At 38.6% G+C, this 27,319-nt stretch overlaps 1 protein-coding gene and 1 pseudogene across 5 annotated transcripts in view, besides 1 other annotated feature; both read right to left on the bottom strand.

Annotated features, from left to right (window-relative positions):
• Positions 1 to 27,319, bottom strand: part of SGCG (sarcoglycan gamma) — a 164,655-nt gene that overhangs the window by 40,623 nt on the left and 96,713 nt on the right. For all 5 annotated transcript variants that reach the window (NM_001378244.1, XM_047430542.1, NM_001378245.1 and 2 more), the window contains one exon: positions 5,062 to 5,181. In NM_001378244.1, the coding sequence (NP_001365173.1) occupies positions 5,062 to 5,181 (120 nt within the window). The remainder of the gene's footprint in view (positions 1 to 5,061; positions 5,182 to 27,319) is intronic.
• On the bottom strand, positions 15,399 to 17,304 carry SDAD1P4 (SDA1 domain containing 1 pseudogene 4; annotated as a pseudogene).
• Positions 15,860 to 16,069: an enhancer, noted in NCBI's record as "active region_7449". NCBI's record gives its function as "activates an Ori minimal core promoter by ATAC-STARR-seq in GM12878 lymphoblastoid cells {active_cell/tissue: GM12878}" and the evidence as "EXISTENCE:reporter gene assay evidence [ECO:0000049][PMID:35858748]".

Below are 27,319 nucleotides of genomic sequence, written 5' to 3'. Positions count from 1 at the left end.
AATGCAAGGAAGCTAAGAACCTTGAAAAAAGGTTAGAGGAGTTGCTACTAGAATAACCAGTTTAGAGAAGAACATAAATGACCTGATGGAGCTGAAAACACAGCATGAGAACTTTGTGAAGCATACACAAGTATCAATAGCCGAATTGATCAATCAGAAGAAAGGATATCAGAGATTGAAGATCAACTTAATCAAATAAAGCATGAAGACAAGATTAGAGAAAAAAGAATGAAAAGGAATGAACAAAGCCATCAAGAAATATGGGACTATGTGAAAAGACCAAACTTACATTTGATTGGTGTACCTGAAAGTGATGGGGAAAATGGAACCAAGTTGGAAAACACTCTTCAGGATATTATCCAGGAGAACTTCCCCAAACTAGCAAGACAGGCCAACATTCAAATTCAGGAAATAGAGAGAACACAACAAAGGTACTCCTCAAGAAGAGCAACCCCAAGACACATAATTGTCAGATTCACCAAGGTTGAAATAAAGGAAAACATGTTAAGGGCAGCCAGAGAGAAAGGTCGGGTTACCTATAAAGGGAAGCCCATCAGACTAACAGTGGATGTCTCTGCAGAAACCCTATAATCCAGAAAAGAGTGGGAGCCAACATTCAACATTCTTAAAGAAAAGAATTTTCAACCCAGAATTTCAAACTAAGCTTCATAAGCAAAGGAGAAATAAAATCCTGTACAGATAAGCAAATGCTGAGAGATTTTGTCACCACCAGGCCTGCCTTACAAGAGCTCCTGAAGGAAGCACTAAATGTGGAAAGGAAAAACCGGTACCAGCCACTGCAAAAGCATACCAAATTGTAAAGACCATTGACACTACGAAGAAACTGCATCAACTAATGGGTAAAATGATCAGCTAGCATCATAATGACAGGATCAAATTCACACATAACAGTATTAACCTTAGATGTAAATGGGCTAAATGCCCCAATTAAAAGACACAGACTGGCAAACTGGATAGAGTCAAAACCCATTGATGGGCTATGTTCAGGAGACACATCTCATGTACAGAAACACACATAGGCTCAAAATAAAGGGATGGAGGAAGAGCTGCCAAGCAAATGGAAAAAAGATAAAGCAGGGATTACATTCCTAGTCTCTGATAAAATAGACTTTAAACCAACAAAGATAAAAAAAGACAAAGAAGGGCATTACATAATGGTAAAGGAATCAATTCAACAAGAAGAGCTAACTATCCTAAATATATATGCACCCAATACAGGAGCACCCAGACTCATAAAGCAAGTTCTTAGAGACCTACAAAGAGACTCAGACTCCCACACAATAATAGTAGGAGACTTTAACATCCCACTGTCAATATTAGACACATTAATGAGACAGAAAATTAACAAGGATATTCAGGACTTGAACTCAGCTCTGGACCAAGCAGACCTAATAGACATCTACAGAAGTCTCCACCCCAAGTCAACAGAATGTACATTCTTCTCAGCACCACATCACACTAATTCCAAAATTGACCACATAATTGGAAGTAAAACACTTCTCAGCAAATGCAAAAGAATGGAGATCATAACAAACTATCTCTCAGACCACAGTGCAATCAAGTTAGGACTCAGGATTAAGAAACTCACTCAAAAGCACACAACTACATGGAAACTGAACAACCTGCTCCTGAATGACTACTGGCTAAGGATGCCACTAAATGGCTAAGAATGCCGCTAAATGTCCTGCAATGCACAGGACAGTCTCCCCCAACCTCCACCAAAAACATTATCCAGCCCAAAATGTTAACAATGCTGAGGTTCAATAGCAAAGACATAGAATCACCGTAAATGCTCATCAGTAACAGACTGGATAAAGAAAATGTGGAATACTATGCAGTCATTAAAAAGAATGTGATCATGCATGCCCTTCTAGGGACATGGATGGAGCTGGAGACTATTATCCTTAGCAAACTAGCACAGTAATAGAAAACCAAATACTGCATGCTCTTACCTATAAGTGGGAGCTAAACGATGAGAACATGTGGACACATAGAGGAGAACAACACACACTGAGGCTTACTGAAGGGTGGAGGATGGGAGGAGGGAGAGGATCAGTAAAAATAACTAATAACCTGGGTTAATACCTGGGTGATGAAATAATCTGTACAACAAACCCCCATGACACAAGTTACCTATATAACAAACCTGCACTTGTACCCCTGAACTTAAAGTAAAAGTTTAAAACAAAAAAACAGTGTTAAGATCGACAAAGCCTGCACTACACAATGTTTAGAGAGTCAGACCTTGGATAGAGACAAAACAAGAAGCGAACCATCAAAACCGTGGAATCTCTTGGTTTCTTTAATCACAAAATGTAAGGAAGCCATTAACATACTGGAAAATTGAGAAGAGTTATGGTCTGCTCAAAATTGTACTGTCTGTACACTCACAGTTCATGGTGTCTCTGGCAATAAGAACTAGAAATGTTTGCAACACCAAAATAACAAGGAAAGCATATAGTCATTAGAGGTGGGGTATATTTTGCTCTAGTTAGCTGCACCTCAGAGGAGGAGTTTGGGAGAAAATTGTGCCTCAGGCAAAAAAATTATGAAAGAGAAGATTATAACTTGTCCTTTAAAAGGATAACTTGAAAGCATGTTCTAGAGCAGGGACTCTGGATCCCTGGGCCATAGACGGATACTGGCCTGTGGCCTGTTAGGAACTGGGCCTCACAGCAGGAGGTGAGCAGTGGGCCAGCGAGCGTTACTGCCTGAGCCCCGCCTCCTATCAGATCAGTAGAGGCATTAGATTCTCATAGGAGTGCGAACCCTACTGTGAACTGTATGTGTAAGGGATCTAGGTTGCGTGCTCCTGATGAGAATCTAATACCTGATGATCTGAGGTGGAGTAGTTTCATCCCAAAACCATCTCCCACACTGTGAAAACATTTTCTTCCATGAAACCAGTCCCTGGTGCCAAAATGGTTGGGGACTGCTCTTCTACAGAGAGCGTCAACATGTTGCTGACCTGTTGTTTCTCCTGCTGATTCATGTTAGTCCACAGCAGTGGTTCTCAAAGTGTGGTCCCCAGAGCTGTGGCATCAGCAGCAACTGGGGACTCTCTAGAAACACAGATTCTCAAGTCACATTTCAGACCTGCTGAATCAGAAGCTCTGGGGATGAGGCCCAGCACTATTATTATTATTATTATTATTATTATTATTATTATTATTATTACTGAGACACGGTCTCACTCTGTTGCCCAGGCTGGAGTGCAGTGGCTCAATCTCTGCTCACTGCAACCTCTGCCTCCCAGGCTCAGGTGATCCTCCCACCTCAGCCTCCCAAGTAGCTGGGACCACAGGCACGCACCACTACGCCTGGATAATTTTTGTACTTTTTCTTTTGTAGAGATGGGGTTTCGCCATGTTGTCCAGGCTGGTCTTAAACTCATGAGCTCAAGCGATCCATCCACCTCAGCCTCCCAAAGTGCTGGGATTACAGGTGTGAACCACTCTGCCTGGCCCCCAGCAGTATATTTTAAACAAACCCTCCGGATGGCTCTGATGCATGCATACAGGTAATAAATAATACAGTTGCTTATCAATTTTTCTCACCTGTTCCTCTAATTGATGTCATGGCCCGGAAGGAGCCCTGGGCTAAGGAAAAGTTCATCTTATTGATTCTCTGAGTAGGAGGGCTTGGGTTTGAAGTGAACTAAGCTGTTAGACTATTTTCCCTGCAGATTTCACTGCCCTGCAGTACAATGATACTCTACCAAGAACTCTGCTGTCCTTTGCACATTTAATCCACTTAACCCAGCAATGATAGTACAGTTGATATTATCAACTCACTTTTAGAAGTTAGGAAACAGAAAATAAAAATTAACTTGCTTGAAATTACGCAGCTAGTAATTGCAGAGGTAGGAATGGAATCCAAGTCTACCCAGCCCATATTCTTTATCCTACACAACAGTGCATTTCTGATGCTTAAGGTGCTTTGTTGGACAATTACCAATTTCCGTTAATTAAATGCGCTAGTGTCCTTCATTTTAGTAACAAAACCAGATACATTACTGTCTTAGAGTATGCAACATTAGGTTATGATCTTTATAGTTTGTTAGGGCCTGTAATAGGGTGGAGTCTACTTCCTTGGCCAGGAAATATTATTTCTTTTTCATTTGGGAGTATTGGTAGTATTGTGTGAGACAATAACATTGCTATTGGTTTTCACAGTAGTACAGAAAGGCACTGGGATAGATTTAACAAGTATCTGCCTGTGTCTTCTAGTCTTTGGCAAGTGAATTTAGAATATGTTCTGAAACATTTTTTTCATAAAATTTTCTCTTCTCAGTCTTAAAAATGAGTGCTATGAGACCCCTATTCAACTTTTAGTTCAAAAAGAGAACTTTTTTTTGTAGAAATATGAGTAATTCAAGTACATGATGTGATGAGAATAAAAGAAACTTGGGAAACAGGTACTTGAACTGCACAGATAATAGTGACATTTGATGAGTCTGTGGGTTACTCCAATTAGAAAAAGACAAAGGGTGGCAGGGTGTTGTGGCTCACACCTGTAATCCCAGCACTTTGGGAGGCCAAGGTGGGTGAATCATTTGAGGTCAGGAGTTTGAGACCAGCCTGGCCAACATGGAGAAACCCTGCCTCTACGAAAAATACAAAAATTAGCCAGGCATGGTGGCGGGTGCCTGTAGTCTCAGCTACTCGGGAGGCTGAGGCAGGAGAATTGCTTGAACCCAGGAGGCAAAGGTTGCAGTGAGCCGAGATTGTGCTACTGCACTCCAGCCTGGGCAACAGAGCGAGACTCTGTCTAAAAAGAAAAAAAAAAGAAGGAAGGGAGGAAGGAAGGGACAAAGGGTAAAACTGTGATGGAAGAAGGGTGGGCCAAGATCTGTGGGGAGGATTTTGTTCTTCTAGGAGAGCATCGAGGGAGTTCAACAGAAATGCAATGGAGAAAATGCAACACATTCAAACTCTCTTATCTGCTTGAAAGATTCCACATAAACTTGTCAATAGTACAATGTGTTTTTGCAGATGTGTACTCCATGGAATGTTGTGTTTTTCTCGAGTTAGTACATACCAGTTACTCGAAGTTTATCTGTACCAACCACAACTTCCTTCTCATCTACAGTAAATAGTGGCTTGCCGTCGTTGGAGTTGATCTGAAACTGTTGATTCTGGACTTCTACCATTTTGGGACCTGAAGAATTAAAACAGTTTATTATAAACTGTTCACTACAAGCAGTGTCCAAATCTCTATTTTTACACATGCCACGTCAACCCTACAATACCAAGTATCTAAAGACTTGGTATTTGTTACCATTAGTGGTATTGATTGATTCTGTGATTAAACTTTGCAACTTTTAAGTCTAAATCTATTGTATTATTAAAATTAATTGTGTCAAACATATGTTAACCTATATCAATATATGTACAAATACATTATTTAAGAGTTTCTTCTTTAAGATTTTAAATACTTGCCCAAAATAATATAGTTTTCCTATTCATGGTTAAACTTGTATTCTTTTGGTTATTAACCACCTAAGAATCTTGCATTCTGAAATGTGAGATTTGTGAAAGACCATCTTACGAATGGCTCACTTTAATGGTCAAAGTTAACCTAGAAGATAAATCATATCCTGAAACTTTTCTCTGCCATTATTCTCAGAAGGGCTGCTCACCCCTTACCCCACGGGGAAAACAGGCATCACTGTGGAAGAACACCTTCCTGTTTTTGCCCTTCCCCTAAGACATTTTTGTCTTTGCCATGCCTTCTGTTTCACTTTTGTATCCAAGGTTATGCCCTTCACCTGAGCTCTAGACCCATTGCCTTCCAGCTCTTTCATCTATTCAGCAGGTGTTTTGTGGGTGCTCACTCACCCTGTGCCATCCAGACATGTGAGGGTGAGGTCACACCTCCCACTCACTCAGCTACACACGCACCTCAGGCACTCATAATTATGTGTTCCCCAATTCCTCTTTGATGCTTCCACACTTTCTAACCCAGGCCTCATGGATTAATCTTCCTAGAGCACAGCCTTCATCATCTACTTAAGAAATTAGGAGTTCCCCAATTTGTTTATGTTAGCTTTATATTCTTTTTTTTTTTTTTTTTGAGACAGAGTTTCGCTCATGTCGCCCAGGCTGGAGTGCAATGGTGCGATCTCCGCTCGCTGCAATGTCCGCCTCCCAAGTTCAAGTGATTCCCCTGCCTCAGCCTCCAGAGTAGCTGGGATTACAGGCATGCGCCACCACGCTCGGCTAATTTTGTATTTTTAGTAGAGACGGGGTTTTACTATATTGGCCAGGTTTGTCTCGAACTCCTAACCTCAGGTGATCCGCCAGCCTTGGCCTCCCAAAGTGCTAGGATGACAGGTGTGAGCCACCATGTCTGGCCTATATTCTTATCTGTAAAAGTAAGTTGAGGCTGGGCACAGTGGCTCACACCAGTAGTCCTAGCAGTTTGCCAGGCCAAGGCGAGCCAATCACCTGAGGTCAGGAGTTTGACACCAGCCTGGCCAACATGGAGAAACCCCATCTCTACTAAAAATACAAAAATTAGGCTGGGCGCGGTGGCTCACGCCTGTAATCCCAGCACTTTGGGAGGCCGAGGCAGGCGGATCATGAGGTCAGGAGATCGAGACCATCCTGGCTAACACGGTGAAACCCAGTCTCTACTAAAAATACAAAAAATTAGCTGGGTGTGCTGGCAGGCATCTGTAGTCCCAACTACTCGGGAGGCTGAGGCGGGAGAATGGCATGAACCTGGGAGGCGGAGCTTGCAGTGAGCCGAGATCACGCCACTGCACTCCAGCCTGGGCGACAGAGTGAGACTACCTCTCCAAAAAAAAAAAAAAAAAAGGAAGTTGAGAAAATAAGTCATATGTTATAATTTTTTTTGTGTGTGTCCCCTCTGACCCTAACAGTTCTCATAAAAATTTTTGGATACCTGGTAGACATTAAGTAAAGCCTTTCTATTAATGCATTGATCCGTTTTGGACATGGTCATCCAAGTGTTCTTAATTTTATTAATTTGTATTTAAAACCCTCCAGTGAGTCTTCATTTAAATAAATAAATATTTTTGGCAAGAGTGCCAGTTATAAAGTTGACTTTTTTCTCTATGTTACATCTCCTTTTTTTTTTTAAAAGCTTCACTTTATTTTTTGGTATTTGTAATGTTATTTTCCCCATCTGAGACTCAGAGTTCCTGTTTATCTCTTCTGGGTCACTGATATGCCTATGTATTTATTATATAAACACTGATTTGCATTTAATGGTGACTATCAAGTTATCTGACTTTAAAATTGAGAAATAATTGGAATAATTAATCCAGTAAGAGTTCACTGTTTTGCTCACTAGAGGTTCATCTTACAATTCTAGGAGGCCTTATTAAGTATAAGGGGTTGAACTGTGACAATTTTTTTTCTATAGTTATTATATCAATAAAATAGTCAACAAATAAGTTTATTTTCATAGTAAGTCTGAGCAGCAAATCCACATAAACTGTTCCTCAAATCAAAGAAAATGCAGGAAAGTGAATGGTTCCATTCAATACAAATCTATTGCATGCTTTTTATGTACAAGGTTCTGTGCTAAGCATTGACAATGTGCAAATGAGTGAGATATAGCTCACAGCTTAAAGAATTCTGTGGTTCACTAAAAAGAAAAGCATGTAAGCCTGGTTTCAGGACAATTTGCTAAGCATTGGGATGCAAGCATGAGAGAGTCTTGACTAGGAATCCATGGTCCATCCATCGAGGCTAAGAGCAGCGTCCGGAGACGCGATGCCTGCAACTGATTTGGAAGAAAGAGTTCATGCTTCCTGCTGGGCGCGGTGGCTTACGCCTGTAATCCCAGCACTTTGGGAAGCCGAGGCGGGCAGATTGCCTGAGCTCATCAGGAGTTCGCGACAACCTGGGCAACACGGTGAAACCCCGTTTCTGCTGAAAATATAAAAATTAGCTGGGTGTGGCGGCGTGCGCCTGTAGTCCCAGCTACTGGGGAGGCTGAGGCAGGAGAATTGCTTGAACCCGGGAGGTGGAGGTTGCAATGAGCTGAGATCAGGCCACTGCACTCCAGCTTGGGCAACAGAGCGAGACTCTGTCTCAAAAAAAAAAAAAAAAAAAGAAAACTAAAAAAGAAAGCGTTCATGCTTCCCTGATGAAGGAAGAACAGGGATCTCCAGGTAAAGGAAACTACTTGAGCAAAGGCATAGCGGTGAATAAAATCCCACCTCCATTTTATTAAAAATAGACCCTGCATGTTTAAATTTAAATACGCTTTCCACTTCAGAGGCAACTGCACTTTCTTCAATAGTTATGGAGTTTGTAATTAATCTTCTAACTTTTATTAATATTCTAGCGGTTTTTTTTTTAACCTAGTTGGACATTGATTAGAGCTGAGGATGTAATCGTCTTTTGCAGTAGAGGTCTTTAAGAAATAAAATTTAAATTCTACCTTGTTGATAAGAAAAGAGCTATCTGTACAGCACCATTTTTAATGAAAGGCTTTGGTACAAAGAGAAAAAGTTAATGGTTTTGTGATCTGATTAATTAAGTTTGGGAAATTAGCTTAAGGGTTTTTCTGGTGAAAATACCATCAAATTCTTCCTTATATACAATGTGTCTCATTAGCAAACTTCTTTTGTTCCTCAGGATATCTTTAATTTAAAATAAAATCATTTAGAAACAAATATTGCAAAGTCCTTTTAAAAAAAGGAAACGTATATTCTGCTGTTGCAAATGTGGTATCACAGAGAAAGGACTGGGCTGGAAGCACAAAGCTGTGCTTGTTAGCTCTACTACTTTTGTGGCAAAATCTTGTATTATACAGTTCTACTTCATAAGCCTGGCACTAATGACCTTTACTTGTGTTAAATAAAATAAAATGAAATAAAATAAGAGACCAGGCTTGAGAATTTCCTGAGCAGACAAAGCTAGTTATGCTATGCCAGTGAAACTTAGGTTATTTCTAGTAAATGTCCCTGATAATCATATGCAAAACTTACACAGCCTTCCAAAAATGCTGTAAGATGATCACTTTTTTTTTTTTTTTAAAGACAGGGTCTCGCTCTGTCGCCCAGGCTGGAGTGCAGTGGCATGATCTCAGCTCACTGCAACCTCCGCCTCCCGGGTTCAAGCGATTCTCCTGCCTCAGCTTCCTGAATAGCTGAGACTATAGGCACCCGGCTGACTTTTGTATTTTTAGTAGAGATGGAGTTTTGCCATGTTGCCCAGGCTAGTCTTGAACTCCTGGCCTCAAGTGATCCGCCCACCTCTGCCTCCCAAAGTGCTGGGATTACAGGCATGAGCCACTGCACCCAGCCAGATGATCACTTTTAACCAATCTTCTGCCATCTGGAAACCCTGACTGTAATAATCAATCATTGTAAAGGTTAAACAACGTCCTCATTTCTATATATATATATATATATATATTCCATCCATTAGAACACTATCCTACCTGCCAACTGGTTTCTCAGCCCATCCCATCCTACACAATCTTTTATTCATTCCTCTCTTCATTTATTTAACAAAAATTTATTGTATAACCTATTAAATATAAAAGGGTAGCCTGAATTATGAATTGTGGCATTAACTGAACTGAAAAAATCTAATTTCAATTAGTGAATCAAATTATTATACATGTATTCCTTGAAATATTACATAGCCATTAAAATAATGCTATGAATTTTTAAAATTTCATAGCATTATTAAATTGGAAAAGGATGGACTTCTGGGTGGCTGATGACCACGCTGGCTATATAGTAATCAGTTTCCCAAAAGGTCATCCCCATACTCTAAGGAATAGTTTCACAGCCATAAAAATTCCACACAGACCGGGCACAGTGGCTCACGCCCATAATCCCAGCACTTTGGAAGGCCGAGGCCGGTGGATCACGAGGTCAGGAGATCGAGACCATCCTGGCTAACACGGTGAAACCCCGTCTCTACTAAAAATACAAAAAATTAGCCGAGCATGGTGGTGGGCTCCTGTAGTCTCAGCTACTCAGGAGGCTGAGGCAGGAGAATGGCGTCAACCTGGGGGGTGGAGCTTGCACCTGGGGGGTGGAGCTTGCAGCGAGCCAAGATCGCACCACTGCACTCCAGCCTGGGAGACAGAGCAAGACCCCATCTCAAAAAAAAAAAAAAAAAAAAAAAAAGAGAAAGAAAGAAAGAAAAACACACCCTTGCATTACTTAAAGGCAGAACTGTGAGTTGAGGGAGAAAAATTAACAAGTGCCAGGACTACAACTTCTCACACACCTGCTCCATCACAGGAATTATGGTGAGTGAAGGCCACGGAGAGGACAGATGAGGAGACTTAGTGAGAAGCCACTTAAGGAATGGACAAAAGTAATGCAGGAAATGAATACTAAATGAGCTGGGATAAAAATCCTGATATCAGACAAAGTGGAATTCAAGTCAAAAGCGTTAAATATGACAAAAAAGATTTTTAATGCTAAAATTACAACCCACAACACAGACATAATATTTACAAATACCTATCCCGCAAATATCACAGACACCACCTTTATGAAACAAAAATAAAAGATGTGAGGACCCACAGAACACACTAATAATGCTAGATTTAATACACAACTTTCAGTACAAGACAGGTCAAGTGGAATAACAAGTGAGGAGATGACCTAAAAAGAACTCAACAAGGCAAGTCTTATGACATATACTGACGGTGAAGTCCTGATAATGGAGGATGCACACTCTCCTCAAGTGCCCGGGGCACATTCACTGAAACTGATCACACATCAGGGCACAAGGTAAACAAACATCAATGACTTTCATAACGTAGAAAGACCACACATAATACTCCCTAAACACAATACAATAAATCTAGAATTTGCTGACACAAATAAAAAGCAAAAAGACCCATTCACCCAGAAATTTAAAAGTCTCTCTTTAAATAACTTTTGGGTGAAATACAAACAGAAATTACAGAATTAAGGAAAATTATGACTTGAAAACACTATATTTTAGAATCTGTGGCATGCATGTAAAGCAGTGACAAGAGGAAATTTCATTGTACTAAACATCTCTGTCAATAAAAATATCAACTGGCTGGGCGTGGTAGCTCACATCTGTAATCCCAGCGCTTTGGGAGGCTGAGGTGGGCAGATCACCTGAGGTCAGGAGTTTGAGACCAGACTGGCCAACGTGGTGAAACCCTATCTCTACTAAAAATACAAAAATTAGCTGGGCATGATGGTACATGCCTGTAATCCCAGCTATCTGGGAGGCTGAGGCAGGAGAATTGCTTGAACCCAGGAGGCGGAGGTTGCAGTGAGCTGAGACCGTGCCATTGTACTGAAGCCTGGGCAACACAGCGAAAATTCTGTTTAGAAAAAAAAAAAAAAGAACTAAGTTCGTAATTCAAAAGCCTAGAAATAGAACAACAAAGTGAGTCAAAAGAAAGCACAAGGAAGGAAATAATAAAGATAGAAGCAGAAATTAACAAGGAAGAAAACAGTATAAAAGAGATCTAATAAATCAAAATTCTGTTTTTTGAGAAAATTAGCAAAATAAATAAAACACTAGCTAAGTTGATAAAAATGAGAAAACACAAATACACAACACATGGAATGACAAGTGAAAAGTAACCATTGAATTAGAAGAAATAAAAAAGGAGAGACAACTATGCAGAACTCTGCAAATAAGCTTGAAAACCATGATGAAACAGGCAGTTCCACAGGGAAATAGTGATTGCTAAAATTGATCTCATTAAATGAGAAAGTTTGATCAGACCTGTGTTTATACAAGAAATGGGGAAGTTAAAAAACTACCCCACATAAAAGAACCAAGCACAGATGGTGTCACAAGCGAATTCTAACAAACTTTCAAAAGCTGGATAGTCACAATGCTCTGTAAATTATTCCAGAGTATTGAAAGTAAGTAAGCTTAGCACTGATACTTAAATGAGAAAAGCAAGCATAAGGAAAAAAATACTATAAGCTAGTATTACTCATGAATGCAAAAAATTCTAAATAGAAGTACCAGAAAGAAGCACAGCGCAACACCACATTAAGAAAATAATATACCTTGATAAAGTGAGATTTATTCCAGGAATGCAAGATTGACTTTAAGTGAGGAATGATTAACATCATACTAATTAATCTAATAAAAATAAATCATATTATCTTCATAGATGCTGAAAAAGTATTTGGCAAAATTCAGCACACATTTATGATCAATGAACATTCTAGAAAATAGGCATTGAGGGATGCTGTCTTAACATGGTAAAATGATGTATTTTAACCCTAAGGCAAGTATTTTACTTAATACAGAAAGACTAGAAGCATTTCCACTAAGATTGGAAACAAGGCAAGGATATCCACTTTGTCCACTGCTACTCAACATTGTGGAGCAGAGGTTTTAGTCAATGAAACTTATTTATAAAGTAAAATCAGTTAGAGGTGTGTGATTGAGTAAAGTAACATTGTATATTTGCAGATGATATAATAGTGTATCTGACAAACCCCAAAGTCTCTGATAAAAGTAACTCAACTAATAAAAAATTCAGCAAACTGGCAGGATATAAAATTAACATACAATAACCAATAACTTGAATACATACAAACAAAAGTTAAAATAAATAATAGTGGAGAAAGTGCCATTTACAATAACAACAAAGATGATTAAAAATTTAGAAATTCATTTAATAAGATGTGTGTGAAAAATATATGAGGAAAAATTTGTAATACTTCTGAAAGACACTTGAATAAATGAAAAGACATTCCGCATTCTTGGATAGGGTGACCCAACATTATAGGATGTCATTTCTTCCAGAGTTAATTTATAAATTCAATGCAATACAGTAATAATGCCAATAAACTATGTTATAGAATGAGCAAATTGATGCAAAAGTTCATATGTAAAAACAAACATACAAGAATAGCTTGGAAAAAGAAAACACAAGAAAGGCCAGCCCCACTAGACATTAAAACATACCATGAAGTCTCTATAATTAAAAGAATGTGGTATCTAGGCATGGAAACACGAACAGACTAGTGCAAGCTTGTCCAACCTGTAGCCCGCCGGCTGCATGCAGCCCAGGACAGCTTTGAATTCAGCTCAACATAAATTTGTAAACTGTCTTTAAGCATTATGAGATTAATTTGCAATTTTTTTTTTAGCTCATCAGCTATCATTAGTGTATTTTATATGGGGCCTAAGACAATTATTCTTCTTCCAGTGTGGCCCAGGGAAGGCAAAAGACTGGACACCACTGGACTAGTGGGATAAAGTAATAATTAGACTCTGATAGACATGGAAATCTAGTATATGATAATGACGGCATTTCAAGTTTAAAGATGGACTTTTTTTTCTTTTTTGGAGACAGAGTCTCACTCTATCACACAGGTTGGAGTGTAGTGGCGTGATCTCGGCTCACTGCAACCTCTGCCTCTCAGGTTCAAGCAATTCTCCTGCCTCAGCCTCCCAAATAGCTGGGATTACGGGCGCGTGCCACCACGCCTGGCTAATTTTTGTATTTTTAATAGAGACGGGGTTTCTCCATATGGTCTTGAACTCCTGACCTCAGGTGATCTACCTGCCTCAGCCTCTGAAAGTGCTGGGATTACAGGTGTGAGCCGCTGCACCTGGCCTAAGGATGGACTTTTAAGTAAATGATGTTCAGATAACAACTTAGAAAAGATAAATTTAGATTCATATCTCATACCACACAAGAATAAACTTCACATAAATTAGGGAACTAAGTGTTAAAAAGTGAAATCATACAAACACTACAGGAAAACATAGGTGAATTCCTTTATAACCTTGGTACAAGGAAGTCTTTCAAGCAATGACTCAACATCTAGAGGCAATGAAAAAAAGATTCTATGTTTGAATACATAACAATAACAAGTAAAAATAAAAGTGTTACATGATTTAAAATACCTGATTAAGTTAGACGACAACTTAAAAATTGGATAGAAAAATCTTAGCAACATATACCCTGGGCAGAAAGTTAAAATGCCTAATTGGTAAAGAATTCTTAACTACTGAGGAATAAAAAATGACAATTCTGATAGAAAAATGGAAAAAGAGTCATGAGATAATTCACAACAAAGATACAAAAATGGCCCTCAAACTTATGAAAAAAATGTTCAAACACACTCATCATTACAGAAATGCAAATTAAAGCAACACTGACATGCCATTTCTCACCTGTGAGACTGGAAATAATTTAGACACATTGTGTTGTCTGAGGCTGTCAGAAAATATACTCTCCTACACCGCCGCTGGGAATCTAAATTGTTACCATCTTCTAGAGCACAATTTGATAAAACTGAACAAAACTAAGTATGTACATATCCACAATCCCACTTCTAGGAATCTACCCTGAGGATATACCTCCAAGAAAACAAAATACAGCCGGGCACGTGGCTCACGCCTGTAATCCCAGCACTTTGGGAGGCCGAGGCGGGTGGATCACGAGGTCAAGAGATGGAGACCATCCTGGCTAACACGGTGAAACCCCGTCTCTACTAAAAATACATAAAATTAGCCCGGCATGGTGGCGGGCGCCTGTAGTCCCAGCTACTCGGGAGGCTGAGGCAGGAGAATGGCGTGAACCTGGGAGGCGGAGCTTGCAGTGAGCTAAGACTGCGCCACTGCACTCCAGCCTGGGCGACAGAGGGAGACTCCGCCTCAAAAAAAAACAAAAAAAACAAAAAAAACAAAAAAAAGCAAACCAAAAAAAAAAACAAAATACATATGCAATTGTTACTCTTTGTGACATAACTGCACAACAGTGAGAACAACTTAAATGTTCATATATATGGGTGAATAGCTGAATAATCACGGCAACTCCACATAATAGGGTACTATGCAGCTGTGAAAAATAATAAGGAAGATGTTTATGAATTAATATGGAGTAATTTTGAGGGCCATACTATTCAGTGAAAAAGTAAAGTTCAAAAGACTACCTACCGTATGCTATCCTCATGTAAGTATGATGGGAGCCTAAGAAAACATATATGTGGTCATTTTTTGCAAATGAAATGGAGGATGGATAAACCTAAAATGGAAAAGACTGGCTACTGAGAGGGTGTGGGTGAGCAAGAGGTAGGAAGGGGCTGGGGACTGAGGCAGACGGGATGAAGAAGTCACACTTTCTTGACTATATCTTTTTGTTCAGATCTGAGTCTGCAACCAATAGTAACGATGCATGCACCCCACTGCAGCACACACCCTCCAAAATAGCCACTGTGTTATCCTGTCCTTCAAATAAAATTCCCTTTATCTTTTTACAAACTGTGGTTTTCAAAAATATCTTATCTCTGTACTTTTAAACATAAGCAAATATTTTTGGATTGACTATTGACTAATATTCAGAGCAATTACACAAATTCAGCATTATCCTTGGAATGAAAAACTGGTTTGGAAGATAATTTATTCTATTTCCCTTTTTTCCAAAAGTACATCTCATGGTGCCAGTTGCTTTTTTTCTGAAGGAACATCTATTTTTTGACTGGACATTCTGGCTATAATACATTATCATATAAAGTTAGTTTTCTTCTCTTTATTTGGGGCACTGGAAACTGCACTCATATTGGTTTTCTTTCTAACATATTCTTTTCAGTCAGTCTTTCCAGCCACTGCAGCGGCTAGTCTTCCTGAAGATGAGTGTTTTTTTTTTTTTTAAAGCGTTCAATATCCTCAACTGACAGTAACTTGTCTCTTGGCCCATCAATGCTGTTTATTTCAGTATCTTTCAGTTTGTGGCTTTCCCAGGGCAGCCCTGGGTTCATTATACAGTTGGGCCATGTAGATTTTCTGGAAGTCTTCCTGGCTTAGAAGGCAACTGGTGCTGAGGGCAGCAGATTTGGCTCCCTCCTCCTCCACAGGCATGCTGGGCACCTCCTTGGAAAGTCCCTGCTGTTTTTCACAGAAGAGTGACACACGTCAACCCACCCACCATGGGCATCTCCCTCCTCCTCAGGACTGGTACTTCCCCACCCTTCTTTACTGTTCACAACATTCTCTTTCTTGACTTCAGAATTCCCCCTCCTGAAATGTAATCTGTAGCATTTAGTTATCCATATTCTTGCACTCTTGCTTCTTTTGAGGCCTCTGTAGGCTTGTCTCAGAATCTCTTCTGTAGTATCTGAGAATTTGGCACTCAGAAGAACAGAATCAAAATCCTAGCAGAAATGATCACATCTTTATGTTTGTGTATTCCTCACTGGGCCAAAACTGGGGGGTTCTTTAGTCACAATGTGAGGGTATCAAGTTGTTACTTTTTTTATAGCATTGATTCCTACTGTCATGACACCCCAGGGCTCCTCTCCCTTACAGAATTGTTGGCCACCTACTTGTGGAGCAGACAGAAGGATCTGATTACTTCTCTTCGATTAGGCTGCAGAAATCTCCGCACGAGAGGATCAACACAAAAGAGAAAAAGCCCATAAATTTCCACCAATCTGGAGATTAGGTTCCTGGGCATCAGCCTCACTTCATACCTCTCCTTACAGCTCTCCAGCTGCTTTAGTCATTTTTCTGCAGAACTTTGAGGATCATTAATCAAGTAATGGCTGGAAATTTAAATATCTCTGCTACTGTTCTTTTATTTCTTCTTCTTCTTCTAGTATCAGCACTTCCAAAGCCTGTTCCAGCCTTGCGTTTGAAGCTTCTCCTCCCTGTGGCATCTACGCTGGAAGGTCCTTCATACTCAGATCCTGAGTTGCCACCCCGTTTCCTTAGAAGAATTTCAAAGCAGCAGCCTGTATCTTGGTGACTTTAGTGAAACACACACTTAAGATAACACTGACAGTTTGGGCAGCATTCCAAATGTTTCTTCCATTGAGTTCAATCATTACACACAAGGATATTTTAGCTGTGATGGCATTGCTGTCTCTTAGGTGTGCGTGGAATTCTGAAATCCTATATTCACTTTATTGTTCTTGTATTTTACATTTATATTCTTGATATCAGCCACACTCTGAGTGTACAAGCCTTCTGAGAAGCTTGTAACTGCAACTCTTTGAATGCTGTGATTCTTATTTCAAAGGAAGATCAAAGATTTGCAAAATGTCATTGAAGTTCTGGATCCAAGACGGTGTGGCTGTAGCACAGCAGATCGTTCAGCAATTGAAAAAAGTGACTTGGATTATCTGGGTGGCAGTGACCAATGTGTGCTACAAACATCACCAGCTCCCCCAGGGGTTGATTTCGTTGTAATTTGTCAATCTCCACATCAGGTCTGTAGTGACCATGCTCCTGTAGACACTCCTCAGAGTAGAGGCCAGTGGTCCTGGTGGATCAGATTCTGTTCGTGCATCAGGCTGCTAGGCAGTTGGGACAAATTAGCTGCAGCCTGGCTCAGTGGGTCTCAGAAAACCCAACTGCCAAACTTCATCAACTTGTGTGGGCACAACTTGCATCTTTCTGGGTGTGTCTCATATTTAAGTTTAACAAAATTGATTTTTCTTATTGGAAATAGAAAGAAAGTGAACAACAGTAACCAGAGCTGTATTTATCAGTGGTAAGATTCCACTGTTGTTTATAATTTGGTATCTTTTATTTCACAGATTTGAAATGCTAGTTACTAGTGCTTGCTTTTCAATGTTTGACTTTCTTTGGAATTTGTGTTAGTTCATTATTGCATTGCTACAAAGAAATTCCTGAGGCTGGGTAATTTACAAAGAAAAGGTATTTAACTGGCTCATGGTTCTGCAGGGTGTACAAGCATGATGCCAGCATCTACTTCTGGTGACGGCCTCAGGAAGCTTCCAATCATGGTGTAAGGAAAAGAGGGAGCAGGTATATCTTATGGCAAGAACAGAAGCAAGAGAGAGAGAAGAGAGAAGAGAGAATTTAAATTTATTTATTTACTATTCTTTTATTTCAATAGCTTTAGGTGTACAAATGGTTTTTGGTTATGTGTGTATAGTTGTGATGTCTAGGATTTTAGTGCACTCATCACCCAAGTAGTGTACATAGTACCCAATAGGTAGTTTTTCATCTCTCACCCACTTCTCACCCTCCACTTTCCCCTCTTCTGAGCCTCCAACGCTCATTTTACCACTCTGTATGCCTTCGCATACCCATAGCTTAATTCCCACTTATAAGTGAGAACATGTGGCATTCGATTTTTGATTCCTGAGTGTTACTTCACATAAAATAATGGCCTCCAATTCCATCCAAGTCACTGCAAAAGACATTATATCACTCTTTTTCATGGCTGAATATATTTCCATGGTGTATATATCCACACACCACAATTACATATATCATATATATATATGTGATATAGCACTTTTTTTTTTTTTGAGACAGAGTCTTGCTCTGTTGCCCAGGCTGGAGTGCAGTGGCGTGATCTCGGCTCACTGCAACCTCCACCTCCCAGGTTCAAGCAATTCTCCTGCCTCAGCCTCTTGAGTAGCTGGGATTACAGGCGCCTGCCACCATACCTAATTTTTGTATTTTTGGTAGAGATGGGGTTTCAACATGTTGTCCAGGCTGGTCTCGAACTCCTGACCTCAGGTATATCACATATTCTTTATCCACACATTGTTTGATGGGCATTTAGGTTGATTTTATATCTTTGTGATTTTGAATTGTGCTGTGATAAACATGTGTGTGCAGGTGTCTTTTTGATATAATGACTTCTTTTCCTTTGGGTAGATACCCAGCAGTGGGATTGCTAGGTTAAATCTACTTTTAGTTCTTTGAGAAATCTCCATACTGTTTTCCATAGAGGTTCTACTAATTTTACATTCCCATCAGCAGTGTCTAAGCATTCCTTTTTCACCACATTCGTATCAACATCTATTGTTTTTTGACTTTTTCATAATGGCCATTCCGGCTGGCATAAGGTGGTATCTCATTGTGGTCTTAATTTGCATTTCCCTGATGACTAGTGGTATGGAGTGTATTTTCATATTTGTTGGCTATTTTTGTATCTTCTTTTGAGAAATGTCTATTAATGTCTTTTGCCTACTTATTTTATTTATTTATTTTTTTTGAGACGGAGTCTCACTCTGTCTCCAGGCTGGAGTGCAGTGGCACAATCTTGGCTCACTGCAACCTCCACCTCCCAGGTTCAAGCGAATTCTCCTGCCTCAGCCTCCTGAGTAGCTGGGACTACAGGTGCGTGCAACTGCACCCAGCTAACTTTTGTATTTTTAGTAGAAACAGGGTTTCACCATGTTGGCCAGGATGGTCTTGATGTTTTGACCTCGTGATCCTCCTGCTTCGGATTCCCAAAGTGCTGGGATTACAGGCATGAGCCACTGTGCCCGGCCCCTTTGCCTACTTTTTAATGATATTATTCATTTTTTTTTTCTTGCTGATCTGTTTTATTTCCTCGTAGATTCCAGATATTAACTTTTTTAAAAATCTTTTTTCCCAAGTTAGATATTAGTCCTTTGTCAGATGCATAATTAGTACATATTTTCTCCCATTCTATAGGCTGTCTGTTTACTCTGATGAGTATTTATTTTGCTGTGCAGAAGTTTTTTAGTTTAATTAGGTTCCATTTATTTTTGCTTTTGTTGCATTTACTATTGAGGTTTTAGTCACCTAAATCATTGTCCAGAAGAGTTTTCTATAGATTTTCTTCTAGAATTTTTATGATTTCAAGTCTTAGATTTAAGTCTTAAACCCATCTAGAGCTAATTTTTGTATATGGTGAGAGTAGAAATCCAGTTTCATTCTTCTACACGACCTAGGCAATCCAATTTTCCCAGCACCATTTATTGAATAGGATGTGTTTTCCCCAGTTTATGTTTTTGTATGGTTTGTCAAAGATCAATTAGTTGTAAGTACTTCACTTTATTTCTGGGTTCTCTATTCTGATCCATTGATCTATGTATCTACTTTTATACCACTACCATGCTGTTTGGGTTACTACAGCCTTGTAGTATAATTTGAAGTCCGGTAATGTGATATTTTTAGATTTATTCTTTTTGCTTAGGATGTATTTGGCTATTCAGGCACTTTTTTGGTTCCGTATGAATTTTAGGATTATATTTCCTAATTCTGTAAGAATGATGCTGGTATTTTAATAGAAATTGCATTGAATTTGTAGACTGCTTTGGTCAGTATGGTCATTTTGCAATATTGATTCTTCTAATACATGAATATGAGATGTATTTCAATTTGCTTGCATCATCTATGATTTCTTTCAGCAATGTTTTGTAGTTATCCTTGCAGAGATCTTTCATCTCCTTGGTTAAGTATATTTCTCGGTATTTTTTTTTTGTAACCATTGTAAAATGAATTGACTTCTTGATTGGATTCTCGGCTTGGTTGCTGTTGGTGTATAGCAGTGCTACTAATTTGTGTACATTTATTTTTGTAACCTGAGACTTTACTGAATTCATTCATCAAATCTAGGAGTCTTCTGGAGGAGTGTGTAGGGTTTTCTAGCTATAAGATCGCATCATTGGCAAACAGAGATACTTTGATTTCTTTTCCAATTTGGATGCCCTTTGTTTTTTTATCTTGCAATGATTACTCTGGCTAGCACTTTCAGTACGATGTTGAATACAAGTGGTGAAAATGGGCATCCTCGTCTTGTTCTGTAATAGTTCTTAGGGGGAATGCTTTCAACTTTTTTCCTTCCAGTATAATGTTGGCCATGAGTTTGTCATATATGGCTTCTATTATTTTGAGATATATTTCTTCTATGCCTAGTTGGTTGAGGGTTTTTATCAGAAAAGAATGCTAGATTTTGTTTAATGCTTTTTCTGCATCTACTGAGATGATCATATGGTTTTTGTTTTTAATTCTGTTTAGGTGACGAATCAAATTTCTTGACTCGCATATGTTGAACCATCCCTAGAATGAAACCAACTTGCTCATGGTGAATGATTTTCTTGGAGTGCTGTTGGATTCAGTCAGCTAGTATTTTGTTGAGGATTTTTGCATCTATATTCTTTGGGGATATTAGTCTGTAGTTTTCATTTACTAATATTTTCTTTCCTGGCTTTGATATCAGGGTAATACTGGGTTCGTATAATGAGTTAGGGAGGATTTCTTTCTCCTCAGTCTTTTGAATTCAGATGTGAATCTGTCTAGCCCTGAGCTTTTTTGTTGTTTTCAGCAGTTTCTTCTATTACTGATTCAATCTCATTGCTTGTTATTGGTCTGTTCAGGAATTCTATTTCTTTCTGATTCAAACTAAAGGAGTTGTTTGTTTCCAGGAATTTATCCACTTCCTCTAGATTTTCTAGTTTGTGTGCACAGAAGTGTCTACAGGAAACTCAAATGATCCTTAGTATTTCTGTGATGTCAGTTGCACTGTCTCCATTTTCATTTCTAATCGAGCTTATTTGAATCTTCTCTCTTCTTTTCTTGATTAATATAGCTAATGATTTTAAAAAATATTTTCAAAAAGTCAGATTTTGTTTCATTGATCTTTTGTATTTTTTTTTTGTTTCTGCTCTGATCTTTGTTATTTCTTTTCCTATGGTAGCTTTGGGTTTGGTTTATTCTTGTTTCTCTAGTTCCTTGAGGTGTGATGTCAGGTTTGCAATTTGTGATATTTCAAACTTTGATGTAGGAATTTGGGCTATAAACTTTCCTCTTAGTACTGCTTTTGCTATATCCCAGAGGTTCTGATAAGTTGACTCACTCTTATTCACTTTGAAACATTTTTAAATTTCCATTTTAATGTCATTGTTAACCCCAAAATCATTCAGGAGCAGATTCTGTAATTTCCATACATTTGTATAATTTTGAGGGTTTCTTTTGGAATTTATCTCCAGTTTTATTTTGCTGTGGTCTGAGAAGATACTTGATATTATTTTGCTCTTAAAAAATTTATTGAGACTTGGTTTGTGGCCTATCATATGATCTACCATGGAGAATGTTTCATGTGCTGATGGGAAGAATGGATATTCTGCACTTGTTGAGTATAATGTTATTTAAATATATTTTGTGTATTTGTTCTAGAGTACAGTTTAAGTCCAGTTTTCTTTGTTGACTTTCTGCCTCAATGATTTGTCTAATGCCGTCAGTGGAGTATTGAAGTCCTCCACTGTTATTGTTTTGCTGTCTATCTCTTTTCTTAGGTATAGTAGTAATTTTTTATTATCTATCTAAGAGCTCTGGACTTAAGTACGTATATATTGAGGATTGTTATAGCTTCTTGGTGTACTGATCCTCTCATCATTATATAACTACATTTTTTGGTTTTGTTTTTACATTGTTGCTTTCAAGTCTGTTTTATTTGATGTAAGAATAGCTACTCATTCTCACTTGTGGTTTCCATTTGCATGAAATATTGTTTTCGACCCCTTAACCTTGAGTCTATGAGAATCCTTCCATGTTGTCTGCTGAAAACAGCAGATATTTGGTTTGTGATTTTTTAATCCATTTTGCTAATCTGTATCTTTTAAGTGGAGCATTTAGACCACTTACATTCAATGTGAATATTGAGATGTGAGGTACTGTTCGAGTTATCATGTTGATTGTTACCTAGTGACTGTTTTTCCTTCATTGTGTTATTGTTTTATAACCCCTGTGAATTTTGTGCTTTCAGGAGTTTCTATTCTGGTGTGTATTGACCTTTTGTTCAACATTTAGAATTCCTTTCAGCATTTCTTTTAGGGTTAGTCTAGTGCTGACAAATTCCATCAGCATTTGCTTGTCTGATAAAGACTTTATTTTTCCTTCATTTATGAAACTTACTTTGTCTGGATACAAAATTCTTGGCTGACAGTTGTTCTCTTTAATGATACTAAAGATAGTACCCCAATCCTTTCTGACTTGTAAGGTTTCTGCTAAGAAATTTGCTGTTAGTCTGATAGGTTTTCCTTTATAGGTTACCTGATCCTTTTGTCTCACTGCACTTAGAATGTTTTCCTTCACATTGACTTCAGATAGCTTGATGACTATATGCCTTGGTGATGTCCTTTTTGCAATGAGTCTCCCAAAAGTTATTTGAACTTCTTGTACTTGGATGTCTAAATCTCTAACAAAGCCAGGAAAGTTTTCCTAAATTATTCCCTTAAATACATTTTCCAAACATTTTGTTTTTTCTTTTCTCTCAGGACACCTAAGATTGTTAGTTTGGTTGTTTTACATAATTCCATATTTTGTAGAGATTTTGTTCATTTCTTTAAATTTGTTTTTCTTTATTTGTGTCTGATTCAGTTAATTCAAAAGACTTGTCTTCGAGCTCTGAAATTCTTTCTTCTATTTGGACTAGTCTATTTTTAAAACTTTCCACTGCATTTTATAGTTCCCTAAATGTGTCTTTCATTTCCAAAAGTTCTGACTGGTTTTTGTTTTTTGATCTATCTCTTTAGAGATTTTTTTTTACTCATAACTGAAATTAAAAAAAAAATTTTTCAGAATAAAAAGAAATGAACAAAGCAAGAAATATGGGACTACGTGAAAAGATCAAATCTACGTTTGATTGGTGTACCTGAAAGTGATGGGGAGAATGGAATCATGCTGGAAAAATTTCTTCAGGATATTATCCAGCAGAACTTCCCCAGCCTAGCAAGGGAGGCCAACATTCAAATTCAGGAAATACAAAGAACACCACAAAGATACTCCTTGAGAAGAGCAATCCCAAGACACATAATTGTCAGATTCACCAAGGTTGAAATGAAGGAAAAAATGTTAACGGCAGCCAGAGAGAAAGGTCAGGTTATCCACAAAGGGAATCCCATAAGACTAAGAGCAGATCTCTTGGCAGAAAGTCTACAAGCCAGAAGAGTGTGGGGGCCAATATTCAACATTCTTAAAGAAAAGAATTTTCAACCCAGAATTTCAAACTAAGCTTCATAAGCGAAGGAGAAATAAAATCCTGTACAGATAAGCAAATGCTGAGAGATTTTGTCACCACAAAGCCTGCCTTACAAGAGCTCCTGAAGGAAGCACTAAACATGGAAAGGAAAAACCAGTACCAGCCACTGCAAAAACATGCCAAATTGTAAAGACCATCGATGCTAGCAAGAAACTGCATCAACTAATGGGCAAAATAACCAGCTAACATCATAATGACAGGATCAAATTGACACATAACAATATTAATCTTAAATGTAAATGGGCTAAATGCCCCAATTAAAAGACACAGACTGGCAAATTGGATAAAGAGTCAAGACCCATCAGTGTGCTGTATTCAGGAGACACATCTCATGTGCAGAGACATACACAGGCTCAAAATAAAGGGATAGAGGAAGATCTACCAAGCAAATGGAAAGCAAAATAAAAGCAGGGGTTGCAATCCTAGTCTCTGATAAAATAGACTTTAGACCAACAAAGATCAAAAGAGACAAAGAAGGCCATTACATAATGGTAAAGGGATAAATTCAACAAGAAGAGCTGACTATCCTAAATATATATGCACCCAATACAGGAGCACCCAGATTCATAAAGCAAGTCCTTAGAGATACATAAAGAGACTTAGACTCCCACACAATAATAATGGGAGACTTTAACACCCCACTGTCAATATTAGACAGATCAATGAGACAGAAGGTTAACAAGGATATCCAGGACTTGAACTCAGCTCTGTAGCAACCTGACCTAATAGACATCTACAGAACTCTCCACCCCAAATCAACAGAATATACATTCTTCTCAGCACCACATCACACTTATTCCAAAATTGACCACATACTGGGAAGTAAAGCTCTCCTCAGCAAATGTAAAAGAACAGAAATCACAACAAACTGTCTCTCAGACCACAGTGCAATCAAATTAGAACTCAGGACTAAGAAACTCACTCAAAACTGCTCAACTACATGGAAACTGAACAACCTGCTCCTGAATGACTACTGGGTAAATAATGAAATGAAGGCAGAAATAAAGATGTTCTTTGAAACCAATGAGAACAAAGACACAATGTACCAGAATCTCTGGGATGCATTTAAAGCAGTGTGTAGAGGGAAATTTATAGCACTAAATGCCCACAAGAGAAAGCAGGAAAGATCTAAAATTAACACCCTAACATCACAATTAAAAGAACTAGAGAAGCAAGAGCAAACAAATTCAAAAGCTAGCAGAAGACAAGAAATAACTAAGATCAGAGCAGAACTGAGGGAGATAGAAACATAAAAAACCCTTCAAAAAATCAATGAATCTAGGAGCTGGTTTTTTTGAAAAGATCAACAAAATTGATAGACCGCTAGGAACACTAATAAAGAAGAAAAGAGAGAAGAATCAAATAGACGCAATAAAAAATGATAAAGGGGATATCTCCACCGATCCCACAGAAATACAAACTATCATCAGAGAATACTATAAACACCTCTACGCAAATAAACCAGAAAATCTAGAAGAAATGGATATTTCCTGGACACATACACCCTCCCAAGACTAAACCAGGAAGAAGTTGAATCCCTGAATAGACCAATAACAGGCGCTGAAATTGAGGCAATAATTAATAGCCTACCAACCAAAAAAAGTCCAAGAGCAGACGGATTTACAGCCAAATTCTACCAGAGGTACAAAGAGGAGCTGGTACCATTCCTTCTGAAACTATTCCAATCAATAGATAAAGAGGGAATTCTCCTAACTCATTTTATGAGGCCAACATCATCCTGATACCAAAGCCTGGCAGAGACACAACAAAACAGAATTTTAGACCAATATCCCTGATGAACATCGATGCAAAAATCCTCAATAAAATACTGGCAAACCAAATCCAGCAGCACATCAAAAAGCTTAGCCACCAAGATCTAGTTGGTTTCATCCCTGGGATGCAAGATTGGTTCAACATATGCAAATCATTAAACGTAATCCATCACATAAACAGAACCAAAGACAAAAACCACATGATTATCTCAATAGATGCAGAAAAGGCCTTCGACAAAATTCAACAGCCTTCATGCTAAAAACTCTCAATAAACTAGATATTGATGGGATGTATCTCAAAATAATAAGAGCTATTTATGACAAACCCACAGCCAATATCATACTGAATGGGCAAAAACTGGAAGCATTCCCTTTGAAAACTGGCAAAAGACAGGGATGCCCTCTCTCACCACTCCTATTCAACATAGTGTTGGAAGTTCTGGCCAGGGTAATCAGGCAAGAGGAAGAAATAAAGGGTATTCAGTGAGGAAAAGAGGAGGTCAAATTGTCCCTATTTGCAGATGACATGATTGTATATTTAGAAAACCTCATCGTCTCAGTCCAAAATCTTCTTAAGCTGATAAGCAACTTCAGCAATGTCTCAGGATACAAAATCAATGTGCCAAAATCACGAGCATCCCTATACACCAATAACACACAAACAGAGAGCCAAATCATGAGTGACCTCCCATTCACAATTGCTACAAAGAGAATAAAATACCTAGGAATACAACTTACAAGGGATGTGAAGGACCTCTTCAAGGAGAACTACAAACCACTGCTCAACGAAATAAAAGAGGACACAAACAAATGGAAGAACATTCCATGCTCATGGATAGGAAGAATCAATATCGTGAAAACGGCCATACTGCTCAAGATAATTTATAGATTCAATGCCATCCCCATCAAGCTACCAATGACTTTCTTCACAGAATTGGAAAAAACTACTTTAAAGTTCATGTCAAACCAAAAAAGAGCCTGCATTGCCAAGACAATCCTATGCAAAAAGAACAAAGCTGGAGGAACCACCCTACCTGACTTCAAACTATACTACAAGGCTACAGTAACCAAAACAGCATGGTACTGGTACCAAAACAGATATATAGACCAATGGAACAGAACAGAGGCCTCAGAAATAACGCCGCTTATCTACAACCATCTGATCTTTGACAAACCTGACAAAAACAAGCAATGGGGAAACGATTCCCTATTTAATAAATGGTGCTAGGAAAACTGGCTAGCCATATGTAGAAAGCTGAAACTGGATCTCTTCCTTACACTTTATATGAAAATTAATTCAAGATGGGTTAAAGACTTAAATGTTAGACCTAAAACCATAAAAACCCTAGAAGAAAACCTAGGCAATAACATTCAGGACATAGGCATGGGCAAGGACTTCATGACTAAAACACCAAAAGCAATGGCAACCAAAGTCAAAATTGACAAAAGGGATCTAATTAAACTAATGAGCTTCTGCACAGCAAAAGAAACTACCATCAGAGTGAACAGGCAACCTACAGAATGGGAGAAAATTTTTGCAGTCTACTCATCTGATTTACAGCACTAAATGCCCACCCCTGTCCATGGGGTGGGGGAATGGGGTAGGGATAGCATTAGGGGAGATACCTAATGTAAATGACTAGTTAATGGGTGCAGCAAAGCAACATGGCACGTGTATACATACATAACAAACTTGCATGTTTTGCATGTGTACCCTAGAAATTAAAGTATATAAAGGGCTAATATCCAGAATCTACAAAGAACTTAAACAAATTTATAAGAAGCGA

The sequence above is a fragment of the Homo sapiens genome, chromosome 13, assembly GCF_000001405.40.
Source record: "Homo sapiens chromosome 13, GRCh38.p14 Primary Assembly".
In the NCBI taxonomy this organism is placed as follows: Eukaryota; Metazoa; Chordata; class Mammalia; order Primates; family Hominidae; genus Homo; species Homo sapiens.
Note: the sequence above shows the minus strand (reverse complement) of the source record. Positions and strands in the feature narration are given on the sequence as shown.